The sequence below is a fragment of the Homo sapiens genome, chromosome 19 (genome assembly GCF_000001405.40).
Source record: "Homo sapiens chromosome 19, GRCh38.p14 Primary Assembly".
Taxonomy (NCBI): Eukaryota; Metazoa; Chordata; class Mammalia; order Primates; family Hominidae; genus Homo; species Homo sapiens.
This window is the reverse complement of record NC_000019.10, coordinates 31180265-31202305: the sequence shown is the minus strand read 5'-3', so window position 1 is coordinate 31202305 and position 22041 is coordinate 31180265. Positions and strand designations below refer to the sequence as shown.

At 36.6% G+C, this 22041-nt stretch overlaps 1 protein-coding gene and 1 long non-coding RNA gene across 3 annotated transcripts in view; one reads left to right on the top strand and one right to left on the bottom strand.

Annotated features, from left to right (window-relative positions):
- Positions 1 to 22041, top strand: part of TSHZ3 (teashirt zinc finger homeobox 3) — a 201002-nt gene that overhangs the window by 148572 nt on the left and 30389 nt on the right. The window lies entirely within an intron of this gene.
- The window catches only part of LINC01791 (long intergenic non-protein coding RNA 1791), a 40154-nt gene that overhangs the window by 5358 nt on the left and 12755 nt on the right, over positions 1 to 22041 (bottom strand). The window contains exon 3 of the long non-coding RNA NR_147209.1: positions 6603 to 6716. This is a non-coding gene — a long non-coding RNA (long intergenic non-protein coding RNA 1791). The remainder of the gene's footprint in view (positions 1 to 6602; positions 6717 to 22041) is intronic.

Genomic DNA, 22041 nt, shown 5'->3' with positions numbered 1-22041 from the left:
TACAATTTTATATGCTTTGGTGTTGTCATTAGTGATTTCTAAATTGTTATTTTTTTGTGAATTATTTTAGTAAATTGTTCTACATTAGCTTATCTTTTTCTCTAATTTTTCTCAAAGATCATGACTTTTTTTTTTATTTTTAGACAGAGTCTCGCTCTGTTGCCCAGGCCAGAGTGCAATGGCACGATCTCAGCTCACTGCAACCTCCGCCTCCAGAATTCAAGCGATTCTCCTGCCTCAGTCTCCCGAGTAGCTGGGATTACAGGCACCGCCAGCACGCTCAGCTAATTTTTATATTTTTAGTAGAGATGGGGTTCTGCCACGTTGGTTAGGCTGGTCTCAAACTCCCATCCTCAGGTGATCCACCCACCTGGGCCTCCCAAAGTGCTGGGATTACAGGCATGAGCCACTGCGCCCAGCCATGACTTTTTATGGGTTTTTAATTTGGCAAATAATGGCAATAGATGATATTTCCATTAAAAACTGGATCTCAGTGCTTTCTAACATTTAATATTGTAATCTGACTTGAAATAAGACATTTCCAACTTTTATTTCTTAAATCATCATCTCTGGTCTTCTGAGGAAGGAAGAGGGAAGCCGCTCTTCCACCCAGCAGTTGAATGAATACAGTGGCGGCCACTCGTGAAGCCCACATTAGTTCCTGCTCAGTTTAATCACACACTCCTGCACTCTAGTCAAAGGGGATTAGACATAAGCTGTGATGCCATGGCCACGTAGACTGCTTCTTTGTAGTGTGGCTTATTTATTCCTTTAGTCAGTTTTTTTCCCCAAAATCATTGATATTTCCATATTAAATTCTATGACTTATCAAGAAAATCAACTTGTCAAACATAGTGAATTTTTTTTAGCAATATGACATTCATTATGTATTTATTTTTATGTAGACAAATCTTTTAAGCTTTTTCTCTTTTTGATTTTGATGGCTCCCTTTGTTTTTAGATTTAACATGAACATTTAATCAACACGAAGAGATTGATATTTTTAAGTCATTTTATAACTTTCTCATCCATCTGTGTATGTGTGTGTGTATTTGGGCGATAGTACAGGGTGAGAGAATAATTTAACCATTATTAAAAATCAAATGATTACAATTTGCCCCAGACCTACCTGTAGAGTAATTTTCTGTTACCTACTGTCTTGAAATGATACTTTTAACGTTGTACTAAGCTGTATTCATTTATTACATAAATATTCAATAGGCACCTATCACGACACTGTCACAATGTTGGGATCCTTTCGAGATTTTCTTCTTTTTAACTGATTTGTCTACATTTTTTTCCCCTGACACCACACTGCTTTAATTATACTTGCTTTAAAGTACAGTTTAATATGTGGTATTTGAAAGCCCACTTCATCATTATTCTTTTTTTTTCAAAATAAACTTCATTTTTCAGAGTAGTTTTGGATTCACAGACAATTGAGCAGAAGGCACAGAGATTTCCCATGCACCCCCCTTCCCACACACATGCACAGCCTCCCATTACCAACAGCCCACACTGTGGTGGTGCATGCATTTGTTACAATTGATAAACCTACATTAACACATCGTCACCACCCAGAGTCCATATTTTACATGAGGGTTCACTCTTGGTATTGCGTGTTCTATAGATTTAGGGAAATGCCTAATGAGTATGCAACATCGTAGTATTGTGCAGAATTGTTTCACTCCCCTAAATATCCTTTGTGCTTCGTCTGTTCGCCTGCCTCCCCTCCATTCCTCCACTGGACACTACTGATCTTTTTACTGTCTCCATCATTTTGCCTTTTCCAGAATGTCAGAGTTGAAATTACACAGTAGGTAGCCTTATCAGATTGGCTTATTTTACTTAATGATATGCATTTAAGTTTTCTATGTATCTTTTTATGGCTTAGTAGCTCATTTCTTTTTAGCCTTGAATGATATTCCAAAGTCAAGATGTACCAGACTTTTAGTTTATTTATCCATTCACCTACTCAAGAACATATTGGTTGCTTTTAAGTTTTGGCAATTATTAATAAAGCTGCTATACATATCCATGTGCAGGTTTTTTTTTTCAGACATAAGTTTTTGAGTCCTTTAGGTAAATACCAAGGAGTGAGATTGCAGGATGGTATGGTAAGAGTGTGTTTAGTTTTGTAAGAAAATCCCAAACTATCTTCCAAATTGGCTGTTTCATTTTGCATTCCCACCAGCAATGAGTGAGAGTTTCTGTTGCTTCATGTTCTTACCAGCATTTGGTGTTGTCAGTGTTACCCATTTTAGCCATTCGAATAGGTATATAGAGGTATGTAATTGCTGCTCCAATTTGCATTTCCCTAATGACATATGGAACAGAGCACCTTTTTATAGACTGTTTGCTATCTGTATATCTTCTTTGGTGAGGTGTCTGTTAAGGTCTTTGGCGCATTTTTTTCAGCTGGATCATTGTTTTCTTTCATTGAGTTTTAAGAGTTCTTTGTTTATTTTGGATAACAATCCTCTATCAGATATGTCTTTTGCAAATATTTTCTTCCAGCCTGTGAGTTGTCATTTAATTCTCTTGACACTGTCTTTCGCAAAACAGAAAATTTTAATTTTAGTGAAGTCCAGCTTATCAATTAGTTCTTTCATGGATCATCCCTTTGACATTATATCTAAAGGGTTACCATCAAACCCTAGGTCATTTCGATTTTCTCCTGTGGTATCTTCTAAGAGTTTAGTGGTTTCAAATTCATTTGGGGGAAGAATGTAAGATCTGTGTCTAGATTTTATTTTATTTTATTTTATTTTTTGGTCATGTGGATGTTCTGTTGTCTTGGCATCATTTGTGAAAAGATTATTTATTACTATTTTATGGTCTTTGGTACTTTATCAAAGACCATCGGACTATGTTTTTTCTTTTCTTTTTTTTTTTTTTTTTTTTTTGGCGGAGTCTCGCTCTGTCATCAGGCTGGAGTGCAGTGGTGCAATCTTGGCTCACTGCAACCTCCACCTCCCAGGTTCAAGCGATTCTCCTGCGTCAGCCTCCTGAGTAGCTGGGACTACAGGCGCCCGCCACGATGCCCAGCTAATTTTTGTATTTTTAGTAGAGATGAGGTTTCAGCATGTTGGCCAGGATGGTCTCCATCTTTTGACCTTGTGATCCGCCTGCCTCGGCTTCCCAAAGTGCTGGGATTACAGCTGTGAGTCACCGTGCGTGGCCCTGACTATATTCTTATAGGTCTATTTCTGGGGTTTTTATTCTGTTCCACTGCCTTGTCTATTTTTTGACGATACCACATCATCTTGATTATTGTAGTTTTACAGTAAGTCTAGAAGTCAGTGACACAACTTTGTTCTTCTTTTTCAATATTATGTTGGCTATTGTGGGCCTTTTACCTCTCCCTGTAAATCGGAGAATCAGTTAGTCAATATCTACAAAATAACCTTCTGGGATTTTGATTAGGATTGTGCTGAGTCTATAGATCAAGTTGGGAATAGGTGAAATCTTCACAATATTAAATCTTTCTATCCATGAATATGAATACCTCTTTATTTAGTCCTTCCTTGATTTAGTTTAACATAGTTTTATAGTTTTCTTCATATAGATTTTGTACATATTTTGTTAGATTTATTATATCTATGTATTTCATTTTGGGGGGTATTAATATAAACGGTATTTTGTTTTTATTTTCAAATTCTACTTGTTCATTGCTGCTGCCTAGAAAAGCAATAGACTTTTGTGTATTAACCTTTATCCTGCAACCTTGGTATAATTATTTATTAGTATCAGGAGTACTTTTCTTCTTTTTATTTTCTAGATAGGCAATCATGTCACTGTGAAAAAGACAATTTCATTTCCTCCTTCCCATCATTTATATATTTTATTTCCTTTTCTTGTCTTATTGCATCAGGTAGGACTTCCAGTATGATGTTGAAAATAATGGTGAGAGGCAACATTCTTGCTTTGTTCCTAATCTTAGTGGGAAAGCTTTGAGTTTCTCTCCATTAACTATGACATTAGCTGTCAGTTTTCGTGAATATTCTTTATGAGGTTTCCCTCTATTTCTGGTTTACTGATAGTTTTTATCATAAGTGATGTTAGATTTGATCAAATGCTTTGTATGCATCTATTGATATGGTCTTGTGAGTTTTATTCTTTAGCTTGCTGATGTGGTAGATTACAGTAATTGATTTTCAAATATTGAACTGTTTTTGCATACCAGGGATAAATCCCAGTCAGCTGTGGTCCATACTTATTTTCACACATTATTGGATTCAATTTTTTAATAATTTGCTGAGGATTTTTGCATCTATGTCCATGAGAATTTTGGTTTGTAGTTTACTTTTATTGTCATGTCTTTTTGTCTGGTTTTAGTATAAATGTAATGCGGGCTGCTCAGAATGAGTTAGACAATATTTCCTGGGCTTCTACTTTTGAAACAGAGTCTACAGAATTGGTATTATTTTTCTCTTAAATATTTGATAGAATTCACCAGTAAAGCCATCTAGAGCTGGTGCTTTCTGTTTTTAATTATTAAATATTGATTCAATTTTGCTAATAAATATAAGCCTATTAAAATTGTCAATTTCTCCTTATATGAGTTTTAGTACATTTTATCTTTCAAATAATAGGTTCTTAATCTAAGTTACCAATTTGTGGACATAGATTGCTTATAATCATTCTTTATTATGCTTTGAATGTCCATGGGATTGATAGTGATGCCCCCTTTCATTTCTAATATTAGTAATTTGTGTCTTGTCTTTCCTTGGTTAGCTGGGGCACCGGTTTTTAATTTTACTTATATTTTCTAAAAACATACTTTTGGTTTCATAAATTTTCTCTATTTTTTTTTTCTTGAGTTCAATTTCATTGATTTCTCTTCTAATTTTCATTTTTTTCTTCTCCTTATTCCAGACTTAATTTGTTCTTCTTTTTCTAATTTTCTCTAATGGAAGCCTAGATGATTAATTTTGGTTCTTTCTTTTTTTCTAATTCTAATATATGCATTTAATGATATAAATTCCCCTGTAAGCACTGCTTTTGCTGCATCTCACAAATTTTATAAGTTGTGTTTTCATTTTCATTTATCTCAAAATATTTTTAAATTTCTCTTGATATTTATTTTTTGACCATGTGTTATTGTGAAGTGTATTGTTTAATCTCCAAGTATTTGGGGGCTTTCCACCTATCTTCCTATTGATTTGTAGTTTAATTGCATTGTGGTCTGAGAGCAGACAATGTGTGATTTCTATTTTCTTTAATTTGCTAAGGTGTATTTTATGGCCCAGAATGTGGTCTATCTTGGTTAATTTTCCATATGAGCTTGAGAAGAATGTATATCCTGAGGTTGCTAAATGAAGCTGTCTATAGATATTAATTATATACAGTTGATTGATGGTGGTGTTGAGCTCAACTGTGTTCTTACTAATTTTCTGTTTGCTAGGTCTGTTCGTTCATGATAGAAGAGTGTTGAAGTCTCTAAGTATAATATTGGATTCATTTTTTCTTCTTTTCAGTTCTACCCATTTTTAGCTCATATATTTTGATGCACTGTTAGGCACAACTTTACTAAGGATTGTTATGCCTTCTTGGAGAATTGACTCCTTCATCATTATGCAATGCCATTCTTTATTCCTGATAGCTTATTTGCTCTATCTGAAATTAATATAGCTACTCCCACTTTCTTTTGATTAGTGTTAGCATGGTATGTCTTTCTCCATCCATTTACTTTTAATCTAGATGTGTCTTTGTATTTAAAGTGGGTTTCTGCTAGAAAACCTATAGTTGGATTTCATTTTTTGATCCACTCTGGCAATGTGTCTGTTTTAATGAGAATATTTTAACCATTGGCATTCAAAGTGATTATTAATGTAGTTTAATTAATGTCTGCAAAATTCATTGCTGTTTACCAATCATTGCTCTTTCCCTTTGTTCTTGTTATCTCCCAGTCTTTTTATGCCATTTGTGATTTTAACTGAAAAACTTATATAAGTTCATTTTCCCTCTTTTCTTAGTGTATCAGTTATATTTCTTTTTCTTTTTATAGTTTTTGCCATAGAGTTTGCAATATATCTTTACAACTAATCCAAGTCCACTTTTAAATAACTATAATAACTGTAGTGTAACTATACTGCTATACTGCTTCATGGATAATGTGAATACTTTAATAACAAAATACTCCTAATTCTTCCTTCCCGTCCCTTATGTCATTGTTTTCATTTATTTCATATAAATATATACATGTATACATACACACACACACATACACACACAATGTCATGCCTTATGTTTTGGTCAACCATAATATTATAATACTGTATTGCTGTACAGAATTGTAGGTTAGAAGCAATAAGCTATAATAAATAGCCTAGGTGTACAGTAGGCTATACTATCTAGATTTGTATAAGTACACACTATGATGTTCACACAATGACAAAATCACCTACTGACTCATTTCTCAAAAAGTATCCTCATTGTTAAGAGACACATAACTATATTGATTATATGTGTCTGTATACACATGACTATATTGATTATGTATGCATGTATACAAAAACACATACATAATCAAATACATTTTTGCTATTTTTATTTTGAATAAATGTATTTGTTGTAAGAAAAATAAAATTTTTACTTTACCTTCACTTATTTCTCCTTTGGTTTCTTCCTTTTTTTATGTAGATCCAAGTGTCTGACCTATAGAATTTCCCTGCTCTCTAAAGCACTTCTTTTAACATTTCTTGCAAGGCAGGTCTGCTGGCAAAAATAAATAAATAAATAAATAAAAGAATCCCTACATTTTGGTTTGTATAAAAAGTCTATTTCTCCTTCACTTTTGAAAAGCAATTTTGCAGGGTACAGAATTTTAAGATGTTTCTTTTTCTCTTAACACTTTAAATATTTCAGTCCACTCTCTTCTTGCTGGCATAGTTTAAGAGGAGAAGTCAGAGATAATTCTTATTTTTGCTTCTCTATAGGTAAGGTGTTTTTCCCTATGGCTTCTTTGGGGAATTATTTTTCTTTATGTTTGATTTTCTGTATTTTGAATTATATGCCTAGGTGTAATTTCTTTAACATTTTTCCTGATTGGTGTTCTCTGAGCTTCCTAGATCTGTGGTTGGTGTGTGACATTAATTTGAGAGGAAATTTTGGGGCATTATTGTTTTAAATATTTCTTCTGTACCTTTCTCCTCTTTTCTCTGTCTGGTATTCCCATATGTGTATGTTATACCTTTTATATTTGTCCTATAGTTCTCAGATATTATTCTCTGCTTCCCCCCCATTTTTTTCTTTTTCTCCCTGCTTTTCAATTTTGGAGGTTTCTATTGAGATACCTTTGAAGCTCAGAGATTCTTTCTTCAGCCATGTCCAATTTACTACAAGCCCATCAAAGGCGTGATTCATTTCTATTATAGTGTTTTTTATCTCCAGCATTTCTTTTTGTTTCTTTTTTCTTAGAATTTCCATCTCCCTGCTTACATTGCCTGTCTGTTCTTGCATGGTGTCCACTTTATACATTAGAGCTCTTAGCATATTAATCATAGTTGTTTTCAATTCCTGATCTGATCATTCCAACATTTCTGTCATATCTGAGTCTCCTTTTGACACTCGCTGTGTCTCTTCAATCTGCACTGTTTTGCTTTTTAGTATGCCTTGTACTTTTCTCTTGATAGCTGGTCAATATGTACTGGATAAAAAGAAATGCTGTAAATAGGCCTTTAGTAAAGTGGTAGTAAGGTGCAGGGAGAAGGGGTGCATTCTCTAGACCTGTGATTGGGTCTCAGTCTTCTAATGAGCCTCTGCTTCTGGACTGTGAACTTCTCAAGTGCTTCTCAATCTCCCCACCCCACTGCCACTTAGATGGGACAGGATGGCTGCAATGGTGTGGAGTTGGGTATTTCCTTTCTTCCAGGTGAGATAAGTTCTGATAAAACCCTAGCAGGTTAGGCTCTGGTTGAATAGTTTCTCCTAAGGGCAGACCTTGTTAAGAAGAACAGAATGCTCTGATGCACTCTTAGATGTTTTTCACCTCCTTCTGCCAGAAGCATGAGGGGATTTTTCTCCAGTATTCAGTGTGGGAACCTGGTCCAGCTCCAGGGGGTAAAACTCACTTAATTGTGAGGGATACCCAATGACTAGTCCACCTAGAGTTTTTAACTCTCAGGTTTATCCACACTGAGACTCCAATAAGTCATCAATTACAGTTCAGATTTCCCGACTTTGGCGCTGATTCCTTCAGAAGTTCTGCTCATGAATTTCTATCTAGTAAGTTGTGATTCTCTGTATTTGCTTATCTGTCTCTAATTTTGGGGTCGGTGATTTGTCCTGTGAACTCACTTCCCTTTGGGATCTAAGAAGAGCTGTTTATTTTCCAGTTTGTTCAGCTTTTTACATGTTGTTAAGATAGAGTAGCAACTAGCAAGCTCCTCATTGAACCAGAAAACATTACTATTTTTCTAAAAAATTTCTACTAATTCTTACCAGTGAATTTAAGCTAACCTTAAAATTGCATTGCCAATTTTCCAGCCAAAAAAATTAACAAAAATACATTATGATAACAGTATTTGTTCTCCTTTCCAAAGAAAATAATGCATTTCTCCAGTTATCCACATCATAATGTATGTGACTGTGTGCTTTACAGATTTTAAGTCCTTTACAAAGGCTCGCACTGTCCTGGAAAAACCCTAAGGGATAAAGATGATTCTCACAATGTTACCTATGAGAAGAGTGAGGCACAAAGAGGTTAAGCAGCTTGCTCAGGCTCACACAACTAGTAAGTATAACATGCAGGATCGCGACACAGGTAATTAGGTGCCACGTTGTCTACCCAGCATAATTCATGGACCTGCTTGGAACATGCCTGGCATTTGGTAAGTGCTACTGGCTGTGGCATTCAAGTCTTTTGAGATTGTTCCCTCATCCATCAAGACAGCCACCATCCAGTGGGCATCTGGGGACATGGCCACAGAGGGCTTCCTTCTCCAAGGAGAATAAGAGTGTGGAGGTGATGGAGTTGGATATTTGTTACTGACAGAGACTGCTTCCTGCAAAATATGACTGAAATAGTTTAAAGGATTCTTGAGTGAAAGAAAATTTCAGACTGGAGCCACAGAGGCCAGATATGTCGCGTCATATGTATGGGAAAGTCTGGTACAGACTTGGAGTCATGAAAAAATGCTCAGAAAAAAAAGGCAGAGCAGGCTTAGCAATGACAAGAGAAGATCCTTTCTCTTTCACACGTCTCCCTTTCATCAGCAACATGAGGCCTCCCTGTGCCACACAGGCACTGGGAAAAACCAGGGTCGCAGATGGGCTCTGATTTTAGGGGAGGCCCCTGTAGGTACCTATTGCATCATTGGAAGATTGTGATAGTAGTGGACAGACATACAGCAAAGGCTTCTCCCACTAATCACCTTCTCCACGCATCTCCCTGGCTTTGGTTTACACTTTCTCTACTGTTTTCATCAAAAAGGAGTCATCCTAAAAACTGTCATGTTAACCGATTAAATCCAATTAAAGAAAGTGTGCAACTTTATATACCCCAGGGATATATTTCACGATTTCCTCTGCAGTGTTGTTTGCGTCAACATAAGAGTTGCTTGGCATCTAATGAGCAAGTAAAAAGGATAAGTGGAGTGCAGTTTACATAGGTGGTGGAATATTACACTGTAATGCAAAGAAATAAAGTTGGCCCCAAAACAATGTTGGATGATAAAAATAAGAAATACATTGAGAAATATACTACAATACTAACAGAACTTAAAGGGCCAAAGTGCTATATTTTTCCAGAAATAAAATATAAGTAAACATAGTGAAAGAGGATTAGCAAAGACATCTATTAAGTGCAAATCATGCACTAATGTCCAGGTCTGACCTTGACAGAGTATAGGGTATTAGACTTACTCTCCCACTATAAACAGCTATAAAACTGGAAGAAATTTACAAAGCATCTGTTTTCATACATTGGAGGTGAGATCTCCATTTACTCAGTTTCTGCCCAAGAGTAATTGGTTCTTAATAAACATCACAGGCATGTGGTTGAAACCCCCAAAAGGCCACTTTTATTAAGTTGTTATTCTTCTTCTAAATGTGCCTTCTGCTTTTTGTTCCCCTTTTTCTTATTTCCTGTCTTCTTTGGTTTAATTGTGTATATTTAATATTCATCTTGTTTCTTCCATGGTCTTTTTAGCCATGCTTCTTTGGGTTATTATTTTAGAAGCTGATCTAGGAATTATATTATGTATTCTCAACTTGTTTCAGTGCTCCATGAACTAAAACCATGTACTTCATGTATAATGAAGAACATTCCAATAGTACATTTCTATCCACATCTCCATTATATTATTGTTGTGTATCTTACTTTATATGTTATATGCCCAATAAATTGTTATCATTTCAGTGTAAGCAGTCAGATATCTTATAAAGAAGATACAAAAGAAGAAAAATGTATTTTTTAAATAAAATTTATCTTTTTGAGGCAGGGTCACCCAGGCTGGGGTGCAGTCTCCCAGGCTGGAGTGCAGTGGTGCGATCATGGCTCACAGTAGCCTCAGATTCCTGGGCTCAAGCAATCCTCCCACCTCAGCCTCCCAAATAGCTGGGACTACAGCCACGTGCCACCATGCCCGGCTAATTTTTTTTAACTTTTTCTAGGGATGGGGTCTCACTATGTTGCCCAGTCTGCTCTCAAAATCCTGGCCACAAGTGAACCTCCCACCTCAGCCTGCCAAAGTGCTGAAATTAAAAATGTCTTTTATATTGACATTTTTTTCCCTCTCTTCCTTCTGTCATGTGGACTAAGTGTACATCTGCTGTTATTTCCCTTCAGCCAATTACTTTGGGGGCAAAAGGGAAGCCTGATGAAAATGTCTTCATTTTGACCACATTTTTCAAGGATAGTTTTACTGGACATAGGATTCTAGGTTGACTTATTTTTACTTCAGTATTTAAAATATGGCATTCCATTGTGTTATAACTTGCATTGTTTCCGACTAGAAATTAGCAGTACTCATATTGCTTTTTTCTTGTATGTTAAATGATTTTTATCTATGGCTGCTTTTATGATTTTTTTTGTGTTAAAAATATTTTTAGCAATTTGGCTGTAATGTGTCTACATATATCTTTATGTTTCTCCTGTTTATGATTTGTTGAGTTTCAGTGTCAACCGTGTTGATATTGTTCATAAAGTTCAGCAATATTTTAGTCATTTTTTTCCAAATAATTTGTTCTCTCCCAATTTTCCTCACTTTCTGACATCCCAGTTAAACCATTTGATTGAATTACTTAGGTCTCTGAGTCTCTACTAATTTATTGGTATTTTCTTTCTTACTGCTTCAGGTGGGATAGTTTCTACTGATCTATCTTCAAATTTACTGGCCTTCTACCACATTGTTCAATATGCTATTAATTGCATCCAGTGAAATTTTCATTTCAGATTACATTTTTTTTATTCTAGAATTTTTATTTATTTTTTTTAAATAGCTTTTATTACTTGGCTGAGATTTCCCACTCATTCACTCATTATATTAAACATTTATTTTAAATCCTTGAACATATTTATAATGGCTTCTATAAAGTCCTTGTGTCCTAAGTTCAATAACTGTGTCATTTCAGAGTCGATTTCTACAGAAAAGTTTTATTTATTTATTTTTCTGGATAAAGGTAAAATATTCTTTCTTTGCATATCTAGTGATTTTTTTAACTGTGTGCTGAATATTATGAATGCTACATAGTTGAGAATATATTTTGCCATCTTGGTCTAAAGAGTGTTGAGTTTTATTTATAGATAATTATTGGGAAATCAGTTTGATCATGTTAGGATTTGTTTTTAGGCTTTGTTAGAGTGGGAGAGAAGTTGTTCCTTTTCCGAGATTGAAATATACTGCTTTGAAGATGTGGCCTGTATGGGGTCTCAACTGAATTCCTGGAATATTTAGAGGGGTTTCTCTGTCCTGGCTGAATAAATCTCCTATGACTCCCAGTGCTATATATCCTCTGGAATTGTCATTCAGTTCACATTCTGTCTTGTAGCTTTCTTTCCCCCCTCCAAGGTCTTGTAAAGTGATACCATGTGCATGCCTGTCTTAGAATTCTGCCAAAAACTCCAGGGAACATCTACGTAGATTGCTTGGGTTACTTCCCTGTGAAGTTCCTCTTTAATGACCTGTCTTTTAAGTTCCAGCCATTTAAGCTTTCCCAAACTTTAATCCAATTAAAAGGCATAGATAGTGAGACTTGGTAACAGAGCAAAATGTAACTATATGCTACTTCAAGAAAAACACTCTTCCTTTATACTATGCTTACTGTAAGCATAAGAAATCTAGCATGGCTCTATTAATATTAGACACAGAGATTTAGAGAAAAGGCTATTACTTGTATTAAGAAGGTCATTTTTTGATGATAAATGGGTAATTTAAAAAGAAGAATAGCAATACTAACAATATCTTGACACAACAACAACGTTTCCAAACACAAAGGAGAAACTTAAGGAACTAAAAAGAGAAATAGATAAATTCACAGTTATGGCTGGAGATTCCAATACTTCTTCCTCAGTAATTGATAGAGTAAGTAGATTTTAAGAACAATATTAACCAACTTGGCCTAGTTGACATTTACAGAATGTGACACCCAACAACTTTATAATACACATTTTTTTTAGTGCATCTGGAACATTCACCAAGATAGAACTAGTGGTACTAAAATACACATCTCTATATATTTCAAAAGATTTAAAACAGAGTTTTTTCTCTGACAATATGAAATTAAAATTGGAAAAAAAAAATGACAAATACATTTGGAAAATCCTCATATATCTGGGAATAAATCACATACTTCTAAATAACCTACTCATCAAAAGGAAAAAATCACCATGGGAAATGAGAAATATTTAAAAATAATTGACAATGAAAATACAACCTATTAAATTTTAGGGGATGCAGCCAAAGCAATGCTTAGAGGAAAATGTATTGCCTTAAAAGTTTATATTAGAAAATAAAGTGCCAAAATTCAATGCACTAAACTTAAAAATATAAGAAAAAAACTAAGTAAATAAAACCCATGAAAGTAGAAGGGCAACAGTGAACAGAAATTGAACAAACATTGAAGATAATAAATAAAACAAGAAGTTGTTTGCTTTAAAAGATTAAGAAAATTGATGAATTACTAACTATGTTAATTAAAAACAGAAGAGGGGAAACACAAATTTCCAGGGTTGGTAATAAAAAGGATGATCACTAGAAATAAATCAGACATTAAAAGTATAAATAAGGGAATGCTATGAACAACTTTATATCTAATATTTAACAACTTAAAGTTGAAAAATACATTGAAAGATAAAAATTACCAAAATTAACACACAGAACATAAAAACTGATTAGCTATGTATCTGTTAAATAAATTAAATTTGTTATCACACTCTTCCTATCAAAAGCACTCATATATTAGATCACTTTTGAATTCTATCAAATTTCAAAAAATACGAATTTTTCACAAACTGTTTCAGAAAATAGAGAAGAAAGGAACACATCACCCCTGTTTTGATGAACCTAGCTCAATGCTAATAAATAACCAAACAAGAACATTAAAATAAAAGAAAATTACAAGCCAGTATTTCTCATGAACTTAAATGCAAACATTCTTAACAAAATATACATAAAAATGGATAATACATCATGACTAAATGGATTATTAATGGAACATCAGATTGTTTTAACATTAAAAAATTAATCTAATTCACCAGAATTACCAGAATGAAAGAAGGAAAAAACCATATGATGAACTTAATAAATGCAGAAAAAGCATTTGCTAATTTTCAACACTTATTCATAAAAAAACTTTTTTGTGAAAGAAGACTAGAAGGAACATTTCTCAATCTGATAGAGTTCCCCTAATATCAAAAACAAGCAATAAAAATTCACTTTCATCACATCCATGCTAAACTGTACTGGAGGGTTTAGCCAGTACAATAGGCAGAAAAATATATAAAATTCATCGGGTTTGGAAAGGAAGAAATAAAACTATAATTATTTATACATGTAGAATTGTACATGTAGAAAATCCAAAAGAATCTGTAAATAGTCAGAAATAAGTGAATTTAGCAAAGTTACTAGAGATAAGATCAATTCTGGAAAATCATTTGCATTTTTATATACTAGCAAAAAAGTTAGAAAATAAAAATTTAAAATACTATATAAAATAAAATAAAAATACTTAAGAAAATATATGTATGGCTTCTATACTGAAAAGTACAAAATGCACCAAGAAAAATTAAAGAAGACCTAAATAAATGAAGAGATATATACCATGTTCATGGATTGAAATTCAATGTTGCTGTAATATTCTATCTCCGAAATTTAACTCACTGCTATCCAAATAGAAATTCCAGCAGACTTCTCTTTGACAAGCTGAATCTTAAATTTTTATGGAAATCTAGAGGATTTAGAATAACCAAAGCAATATTAAAGAGAACAAAGTTAAATAACTTACACTACCTGATTTTAAGACTGCCTGTGAAACTAAAGTTATCAAGACAGTTTGCATTGGTGTGAAACAGACAAATAGATTAAGTGAACAGAATACAGAGGCCAGAAATAAATTCACACAACTGATTTTTGGCAAAAGCTGCAAGGCAATTCAATGAGAAAAGGGCAGTCTTGCAGCAAATGATGCTTTAAAAAACAGATATACCCATACTGAAAAAATAAAAACTAAACCCTACCTAACACTAAATGCAAAAATTAATTTATGATAGATTATAGACCTAAGTGTAAAAGCTAAAACTATATATAAAGGTCTTATAAATAAACACAGGAGAATATATTATTTGACTACCTTTCAGTGGCCAAATGTGTTATATGTAATGAAAAAAACTGCAAACCATAACAGAGAAAACTGATAAATTGGACTTGGTCCAAATTAAAAGCTTCTGCTTATTAAAAAAAAAAACACGATTAAACGTGAATTGGTACAATGCAATTCTGCTCAGCAATAAAAATCAATGAACTACTGATACATACAGCAGCTTGGAAAAATCTCAGAGATGCTGAGTGAAAGAAGTCAACCTCAAAAGGTTACATATGGTGTGATTCCATTTATATGGTGTTCTGTTTATTTATTTTTTAAAAAAACTATAATATGGTGATAGAGAACAGATCACTAGTTCCCAGGGGTTATGGGTGGGGAGCATGTGCCCACAAAGGTTAGAGTCATTTGGGGTGACACAAATGCTCTGTGTCCTGATTGTAATGGTGGTTATATGAATCTCTACATGTGTTAAAAGTAAGAGAAGTGTACCCCAAAAGAACTCAATTTACTGCATGTTAATAAAAGAATAAAATATATTAGTTGGCAACTAAAGATGAAGAAAAAAGATTTTGTAATATACACATTTGGAAAAGGACTGGTCTTCAGAATATATAAGGAATTCATACAACTCAGTAAGAATAAGAGAACTCCATTAAAAATAGGCAAAACGTGTGAACAAATACTTCACAAAGATATTTGAATGACATATAAAAAGCATATAAAAAGTGATCAGAAGGAGGATGAAAATTAAAACCATATTTGGAAAGCTATACAGAATCACTGAAATACTTAAAATTTAAAAGACTATCAATGCTAAATGTTGGTGAAGATATGGAATAAACAGGTTGCAGAGCTCTCTTACATTGTTGGCTAAATGAAAAATGGTGAAACCAAATTGAAAAACAGTTTGATAGTTGACTAGTTCTTTCTCACACTGCTAATAAAGACATATTCAAGACTAGGTAATTTATCAAGAAAAGAGGTTTAATTGACTCACAGTTCAGCATGGCTTGGGAGGCCCCAGAAAACTTGACAATCATGACAGAAGGGGGAAAGGGAAGCAAACATGTCCTTCTTCACATTGCAGTGGCAAGAAGTGCTGAGCAAAAGGGGGAAAAGCCTCTTATAAAACCATTCAGATCTTGTGAGAACTCACTCAGTATCATGAGAACAGCATGAGGGTAACCGCCCCCCATGATTCTATTACCTTCCACCAGGTCCTTCCCGTGACACATGGGGATTATGGGAACTACAACTCATGATGAGATTCGGGTGGGGACATAGCCAAACCATCTCAGTAGTTTCTCATAGAATTAAATATACTCTTTACCCTAGAGCCCAGCAATTCCACTCCTACACACTTACTCAAGAGGAATCAAAATATATGTCTGCAAAAGACTTGTACAAGAACGGTCACCGCGACTTGATTCATAATGGGTAAAAACCGGAAGGAACCCCAACATTCGTTAAAAGAACAGATGAAAAGATTGTGGTAGAATCACATAACAGAATGCAAATCAGCAGTAGAAATGAGTGGCCTATGGTTATGCGCAACAGAGAGCCACAGAAACATTGTGGTGGGTGAGAGAAGCCAGATACAAAAGAGTTCATTCTGTAGAATTCCATTTCTATAAAATTCTAGAACAGGAAAAATCTAATTTATAGTTAGAAATGGAAACCAGAACAGTGATTGCTTGGATGGGTGGGAAGGCAGGCACTGACTGGGAAGGATAATGATGGAACTTCCTGGGGTGATGGAAACATCCTATATTCTAATAGGAATGTGAATTGCACGTGGCTGTGCATGTGCCAAAACTCATCTGTCTCTACACTTATGTGTCTTTTGCTATATGCAAATTATACCTTGATTAAAAAGAAAATAATGTGTCTCTGGGGAAGACAAGATTAGGGATTAAGAGAAGAAGGGGATAATCATGTAACAAATAGACACACAATGGCCTTGCCTGGACTTACCATTGAAAGATGCCCAGTCCTGGGCATGGTCCAGACTCCACTGAGCTCCCTCTGCAGGCTCCTCCTCATCCCTGCCGCAATGTCTTTCCTCTGTTCACCATAGAGGATTTGGCAAAGCACACCCCTATTCTGATCTTCCCCTCTGGTTTGTCTGACATCACTCCTTCATTTTACTTCCCTCCCCTAAGGGGCTAGGAAGCTGGGGTTGGGGAGCTTGAAGGTGTGAGGAAGGGAAGGTGTGAGGAAGCGAGGGAGAAGTTGCCTTTGCTTATTGCCTTCAGTTGGCCCCTGGCTGCCTTGAAGAAGAGCTTTAAGCCCAGCTCCGGAGGAGGCCCAGGATAGCCCAAAGGAGTCTGGAGATGCTTATGGGAATAAGTCTGCATGGCGGCCACTGGCGGAAGGGAAGGGAGAGCTGGAGCTTTCCTCGCTCTGCATTTCTATTCCCCTTGTGTTTTTTTTTTTGTTGTTGTTTCCTTGTTTGTTTTTTTAACATAAAATTTTTACCTTCAAACTCTAGAGGCTGAGAAAGGTGTCCCTGTCTCAGGAGGGTACAGTTCTGAGGCTCACCCTGCTCTGCTCAGCACAGAGGTTGTAACTGAGCAATCTTCCTTAACCCCTTGGGGGGAAAAATAAAGAGGCAGAGGAATGCATTTTTTCCTTCTCCCTTCTCATTCTGCTCTGCTGACCTTTTGCTTAGCTTTTTGCTAATGTCATTTTCACTCTTGGTTGGGCTTTCTTGACAGTAAGGAAGACTTCTTTATGAAGCCGCGGTGATAAACTAGGGTCATGCATTCATTCACATCGAGGAAACCACTTCATCAGCTCTGACTTCAATATCAAATACCTCTAATCTAATCAGGAAAATAGCAAAACTCTGCAAAGTGCTCCTGTTAATTCTGTCACTTACTACCTCATGAGATTTAGAAAAATGCAGTTTAATTAGCAAAATAAAAGAACTTAATCTTTCCCCTATTATTCACACAAGTAAAAATATATGCATTGGCTGAAGATAAAAATAAATTGCATAGGGCTACTAACCAAATGCAGGGGTGGGAGACAGATGAGGCTGTAATCACCCTGATTGTAGAGTATGAAACAAACTCTAAGCTTTGTTACGGCCTCAGTAAAACAGTGCAAAGAAATGCCTCTCTCCATAAATGTTTCACACACATTTAATACAAGGACGAACAATTTTTAGGCCAAAAGGTGTTTCAACACAGAAGAAAATACTCCCTCTATTTAATCTCGCAGTTTTTGTAACATGAAATAGGGCTCTTCACAAAGTTGGTGCTTTGGATTTTAATAAAAACTATACAAGACAAGAAAGAGAGCTTTTTCCTACAATTATCTTAAAAAAGAAAATAAGATCCCGTCTTAACAGATGATTGCAACAAAAAAGAAAAAATACATCCTTTTTTGGTCTTTGCTTTTGAACTCTCACCACCTCTACCCTTTTACATATTCATAAAATGTATACCGAGCTAATTTTGAATGTGCCCTTTATGACTATATCACGGTCATAATATCGTCACGTTCTGAAGGCGTAATTAAAGATTTACCTAGATTTATGAGACTTTATCATTATCAATAGGGTTAAGGAATGCCGGGGAGACACATTGTTGGAAGATTTTGCTCAGCAATTTCTTGAGCAATGAGAGTACTGGTATTACTTTAGTGCTCAAAAAAATGACTGTTCGGCACTAATATATGGCCCTTTATTAGAAAGGGAACACCAAAGACTCTTCAGTCAAAACACTCCAGCGCCTGTTCACCTCTTCCTTTTGGGGGATGAAGAAGCAAAATGTCTTGCTCATCGAAATGTAAGAGGTGGAAACATCAGCTCCCTACAGCAGAGGGTGGCTGACCTCTCACCTCTCCCTCCTTACAGGTTGAGCCATATTGCAACCCATGGATCAAGACGCCTTTAAAACAATGAAATGCAGGAAAGAAAACCCCCTAACACACCTGGTTCCCAACCTGCTTGCTGCCTTTCTGTGGCCTTCCAATTTTAGAGTCAGGCAATTCTCTGGAAGGTTGGTTTCAGTGGCAATTCGAGCAATTAAGATTTTTTGTTTGTTTGTTTTTTGCCATGTCTGGCTAGTGTTTCGTTTTCTGATTCTCAGAGTAGTCTTCACTCAGAGCAAGACGAGCCTCAGAATGCCATTTTTCATGCAACATATCTTTCATGAAAATGAGAAGACCTAAGCCGGGTGTCGAGGCACCCTGCCTTCAGGCTTTGCAGGGAAAAGGCATGTGTTGAATCAGTGTCATTATGACAGCACCTACACTGGCAAAGGCTAATTTCTTTTTGTCCTCTAAGGATGGAGAGAGAGAGAGAAAGAGAGAGAGAGAGAGAGAGAGAGAGAGAGAGAGAGAGAGAGAGAGAGAATCTCATAGAATTGGCTCACATGATTGTAGAGGCTGTCAGGTCCTAAATCTGCAGGGCAGGCTGGTAGGCTGGAGACTCAGGGAAGGGTTGATGTTGTAGTTCAGATCCAAAGGCAATCTACTAGCAGAATTCCCCTTTCCTTGGGCAAAATCTCTCTTTTTCTTAAGGCCTTCAACTGATTAGATGAGGCCCACCCACATTATGGAGATTTACCTGTTTGACTCTAAATCTAATGATTTAAATGTTAGTCTCATCTAAAAAATACCTTCACAGCAATATCCAGATGTGTGTGACCAGTTACCTGTGTACTGTGGCCTTGTCAAATTAGCACATAAAATTAAACATCACAATACCTATTTTAGGGCCCATGAGTCTCACTTTACTTGTCCTCTGTGAATTAGAGTCTTACATATGTATTTTTTTGTCTAAGAAACTTATCTTCTTTTAACACATTGGACACGTGTTGTATGGGTTAAAGCAATACACTTCTATCTGCAAAGGAAAGCCATTCTAAAGGGAAAGTTGAGGCGTGTCTGACATTGCAAGAAACACCAGCTAGCTTCTCCTTTCCTTTGAGGGATTCTATTTGACTCTCTGCTTTCCTTAGAAGCACTTGGAATGAGGTTCTTGGGTTGGGTTGGGAGTTTAGGGTCGGTCCTCAGACCTGCCTAGGATTTGGATTTTTCATCACGGGCTGTGCATTTTGGTGTGACCTAGAAATGTTGCATGCACATTTCCAAAACTGTGGAGTGAAACAGTGCCTTCCACTATCCCCTAGGCAGACTTCAGCTGGGCGCAGCTAGGAGGAGCTGAGGATTATTGTCTGAGGGATTCATTTCTCCCTGGAACAAGAGCTCTCTGAGATTGCATCTGGCCAACAATTCCATGCACTCTTCGTTTTTGCTGGATTCACAGCATCGGTACAGAAATGTTTATTTGGGAAGATGTTTCCCCAGCTTGAACCTGCTCTCAATGCCTCTGGAAAAGGTGGTTCTATCTGGGTTCTTTCTCCAAATCTGGGCAGAGACTGATGGAGCTCACTCTCCAAGTTCCTATTCCACATTGGAGGAATAGTAAAAATTACTTTATCTCTATGTAGAGCATGCGGCTCTCAGGATGCCTCAATCCATATGGGAACAATCATGGTTTGCAGTGGGGATGACAGACACTGCATTCACCTGCAGTGGAGATGCCTGCAGGAGCACGGACTCTAGAGGATCTGGCCAGGACTCCAGTTCCTTCTGGCTTCTCTTTGGAGTCCTGCATGTAGCTGTGTCCTTAGCTTGACCCAGGATTCCTCATCAGTGCTAATTAGCCAGAATAAAGCATCCACAACGAGGTGGCAATTTTTCATTTGATGAAATTGGCTGAAAATATTGCAAAAAGAAAAAATGTCCAGCAACAACAAAAAAAAGCAGAAGGCCACTTTCCAAGTCCCCTGGCCTGGGACTGTACCTTCACTTCCTCATTGCATTTTTCTTCCTTGTTGCATTTCTTCTGTCAGCCTGTGGGCACACCAACAAAACACAAATTCTGCTGGTGTGGGTCTGGAGGGGGATGCCCATGCTTTCTGCTTAGCATAGAGCCTCTTCCTGGTAGCTGGCATAAGTCTAGCTCCTTAATGCCCCACTGTCTCCGTTCTCCCTCCCCAAGCCACTACGGTGGTTCTCTCTCTCCTCTGACCCAGCCACAGAGCACTGCTACTGCAGAGGGATTCTAAAAGAAACCCCTTAGACATGGAGAAAACCCTTCTTCTCTCTGCTCAGATGGTACATCTTCCAAAACAGATAACATGACCCCTGGTAATATTACCAGGCCTAAAATATTACCAGAACCTACCCTGCCCCTTTGCTGAGGTCCCTGCCAATCTGCTTCCTGCATGGTAAGGAAAAGGCCATGAAGCCAGAAGATTCTGGATGGGTTTCCTCTTTGGTAATCACGCTAAATCATGAGACACCTTCTTATGCTTAAACATGGCCACTGCAAGATGAGGGAAGTTGGTGCTGTTCTGCTTGATTCTTCAAAAACTGGTAAGTGGATCTAAATCTCTGCTACCCAGATGAGTTAAAAACCTTGGTGTCAAACTGGAGAGCCACCTGCCCTGCCATTGTGTCATCTCTCCCCCTAATGAGCTCTGGGAATGAACAACCTGAGATTCAACTTAGTCCTCCACCAAGCAGGCTGTTACAGATGTTCTGCATATACTGAAATTAGCAGGTGAGTTGACAAGATGGTGACATCGCTCATCTTTTTTCAAGCTGCTTACCTTTATCAGTCTATTGTGCAGGTTGTGGTAGTAGATACAGAATTACATGCCTGCCCCAGCGTGAGCCTCTGCACAGGAGAATGGCCAGATAAAGGGCCGGGCCCCAGTGGTAGGAAGATGGCCTGATGGCGGTTATCATAAAAGCAACAGAAATCCTGTCAAAGCGTCCAGCTCTCACATTCAGCATCTCGCATGTATGAAAGAAGGAACATCTGTGACATGCCCGTCAATATGTTTTAGCAACATTTTTTGGGACCAAAATTAACATTAACAGGAAGACAGGTTTGTGTTTCTGTATTTTCACTTATTAACACAACAATCCCAAGGTGATTAGCAATTCTGAGCTATGTTGGGCTGTGAGTTTCCATGTGCAGCATTGAGACACAGGACAAACATCCTCACTTTTAGCTCAGAGTTTGGGCTTGTGGAAATTTCAGGAAACCACATAGCTTTGAAAAGCTTGGATGTCTTTCAGTCCATGTTTAGATGTGAGGAAACGTGCACCAGAGAAAACAGAAATGTCACGGTGCCACTGTGTTGGATTATCTCCAACATTTGCTAAGTGCCTATGGTGGGCCAGGCTCTGTAGAAAGCAGGTGTACAGCCCGTACCTTGCTATCTAGGACTGGAAGTCACAGACTCTTCAT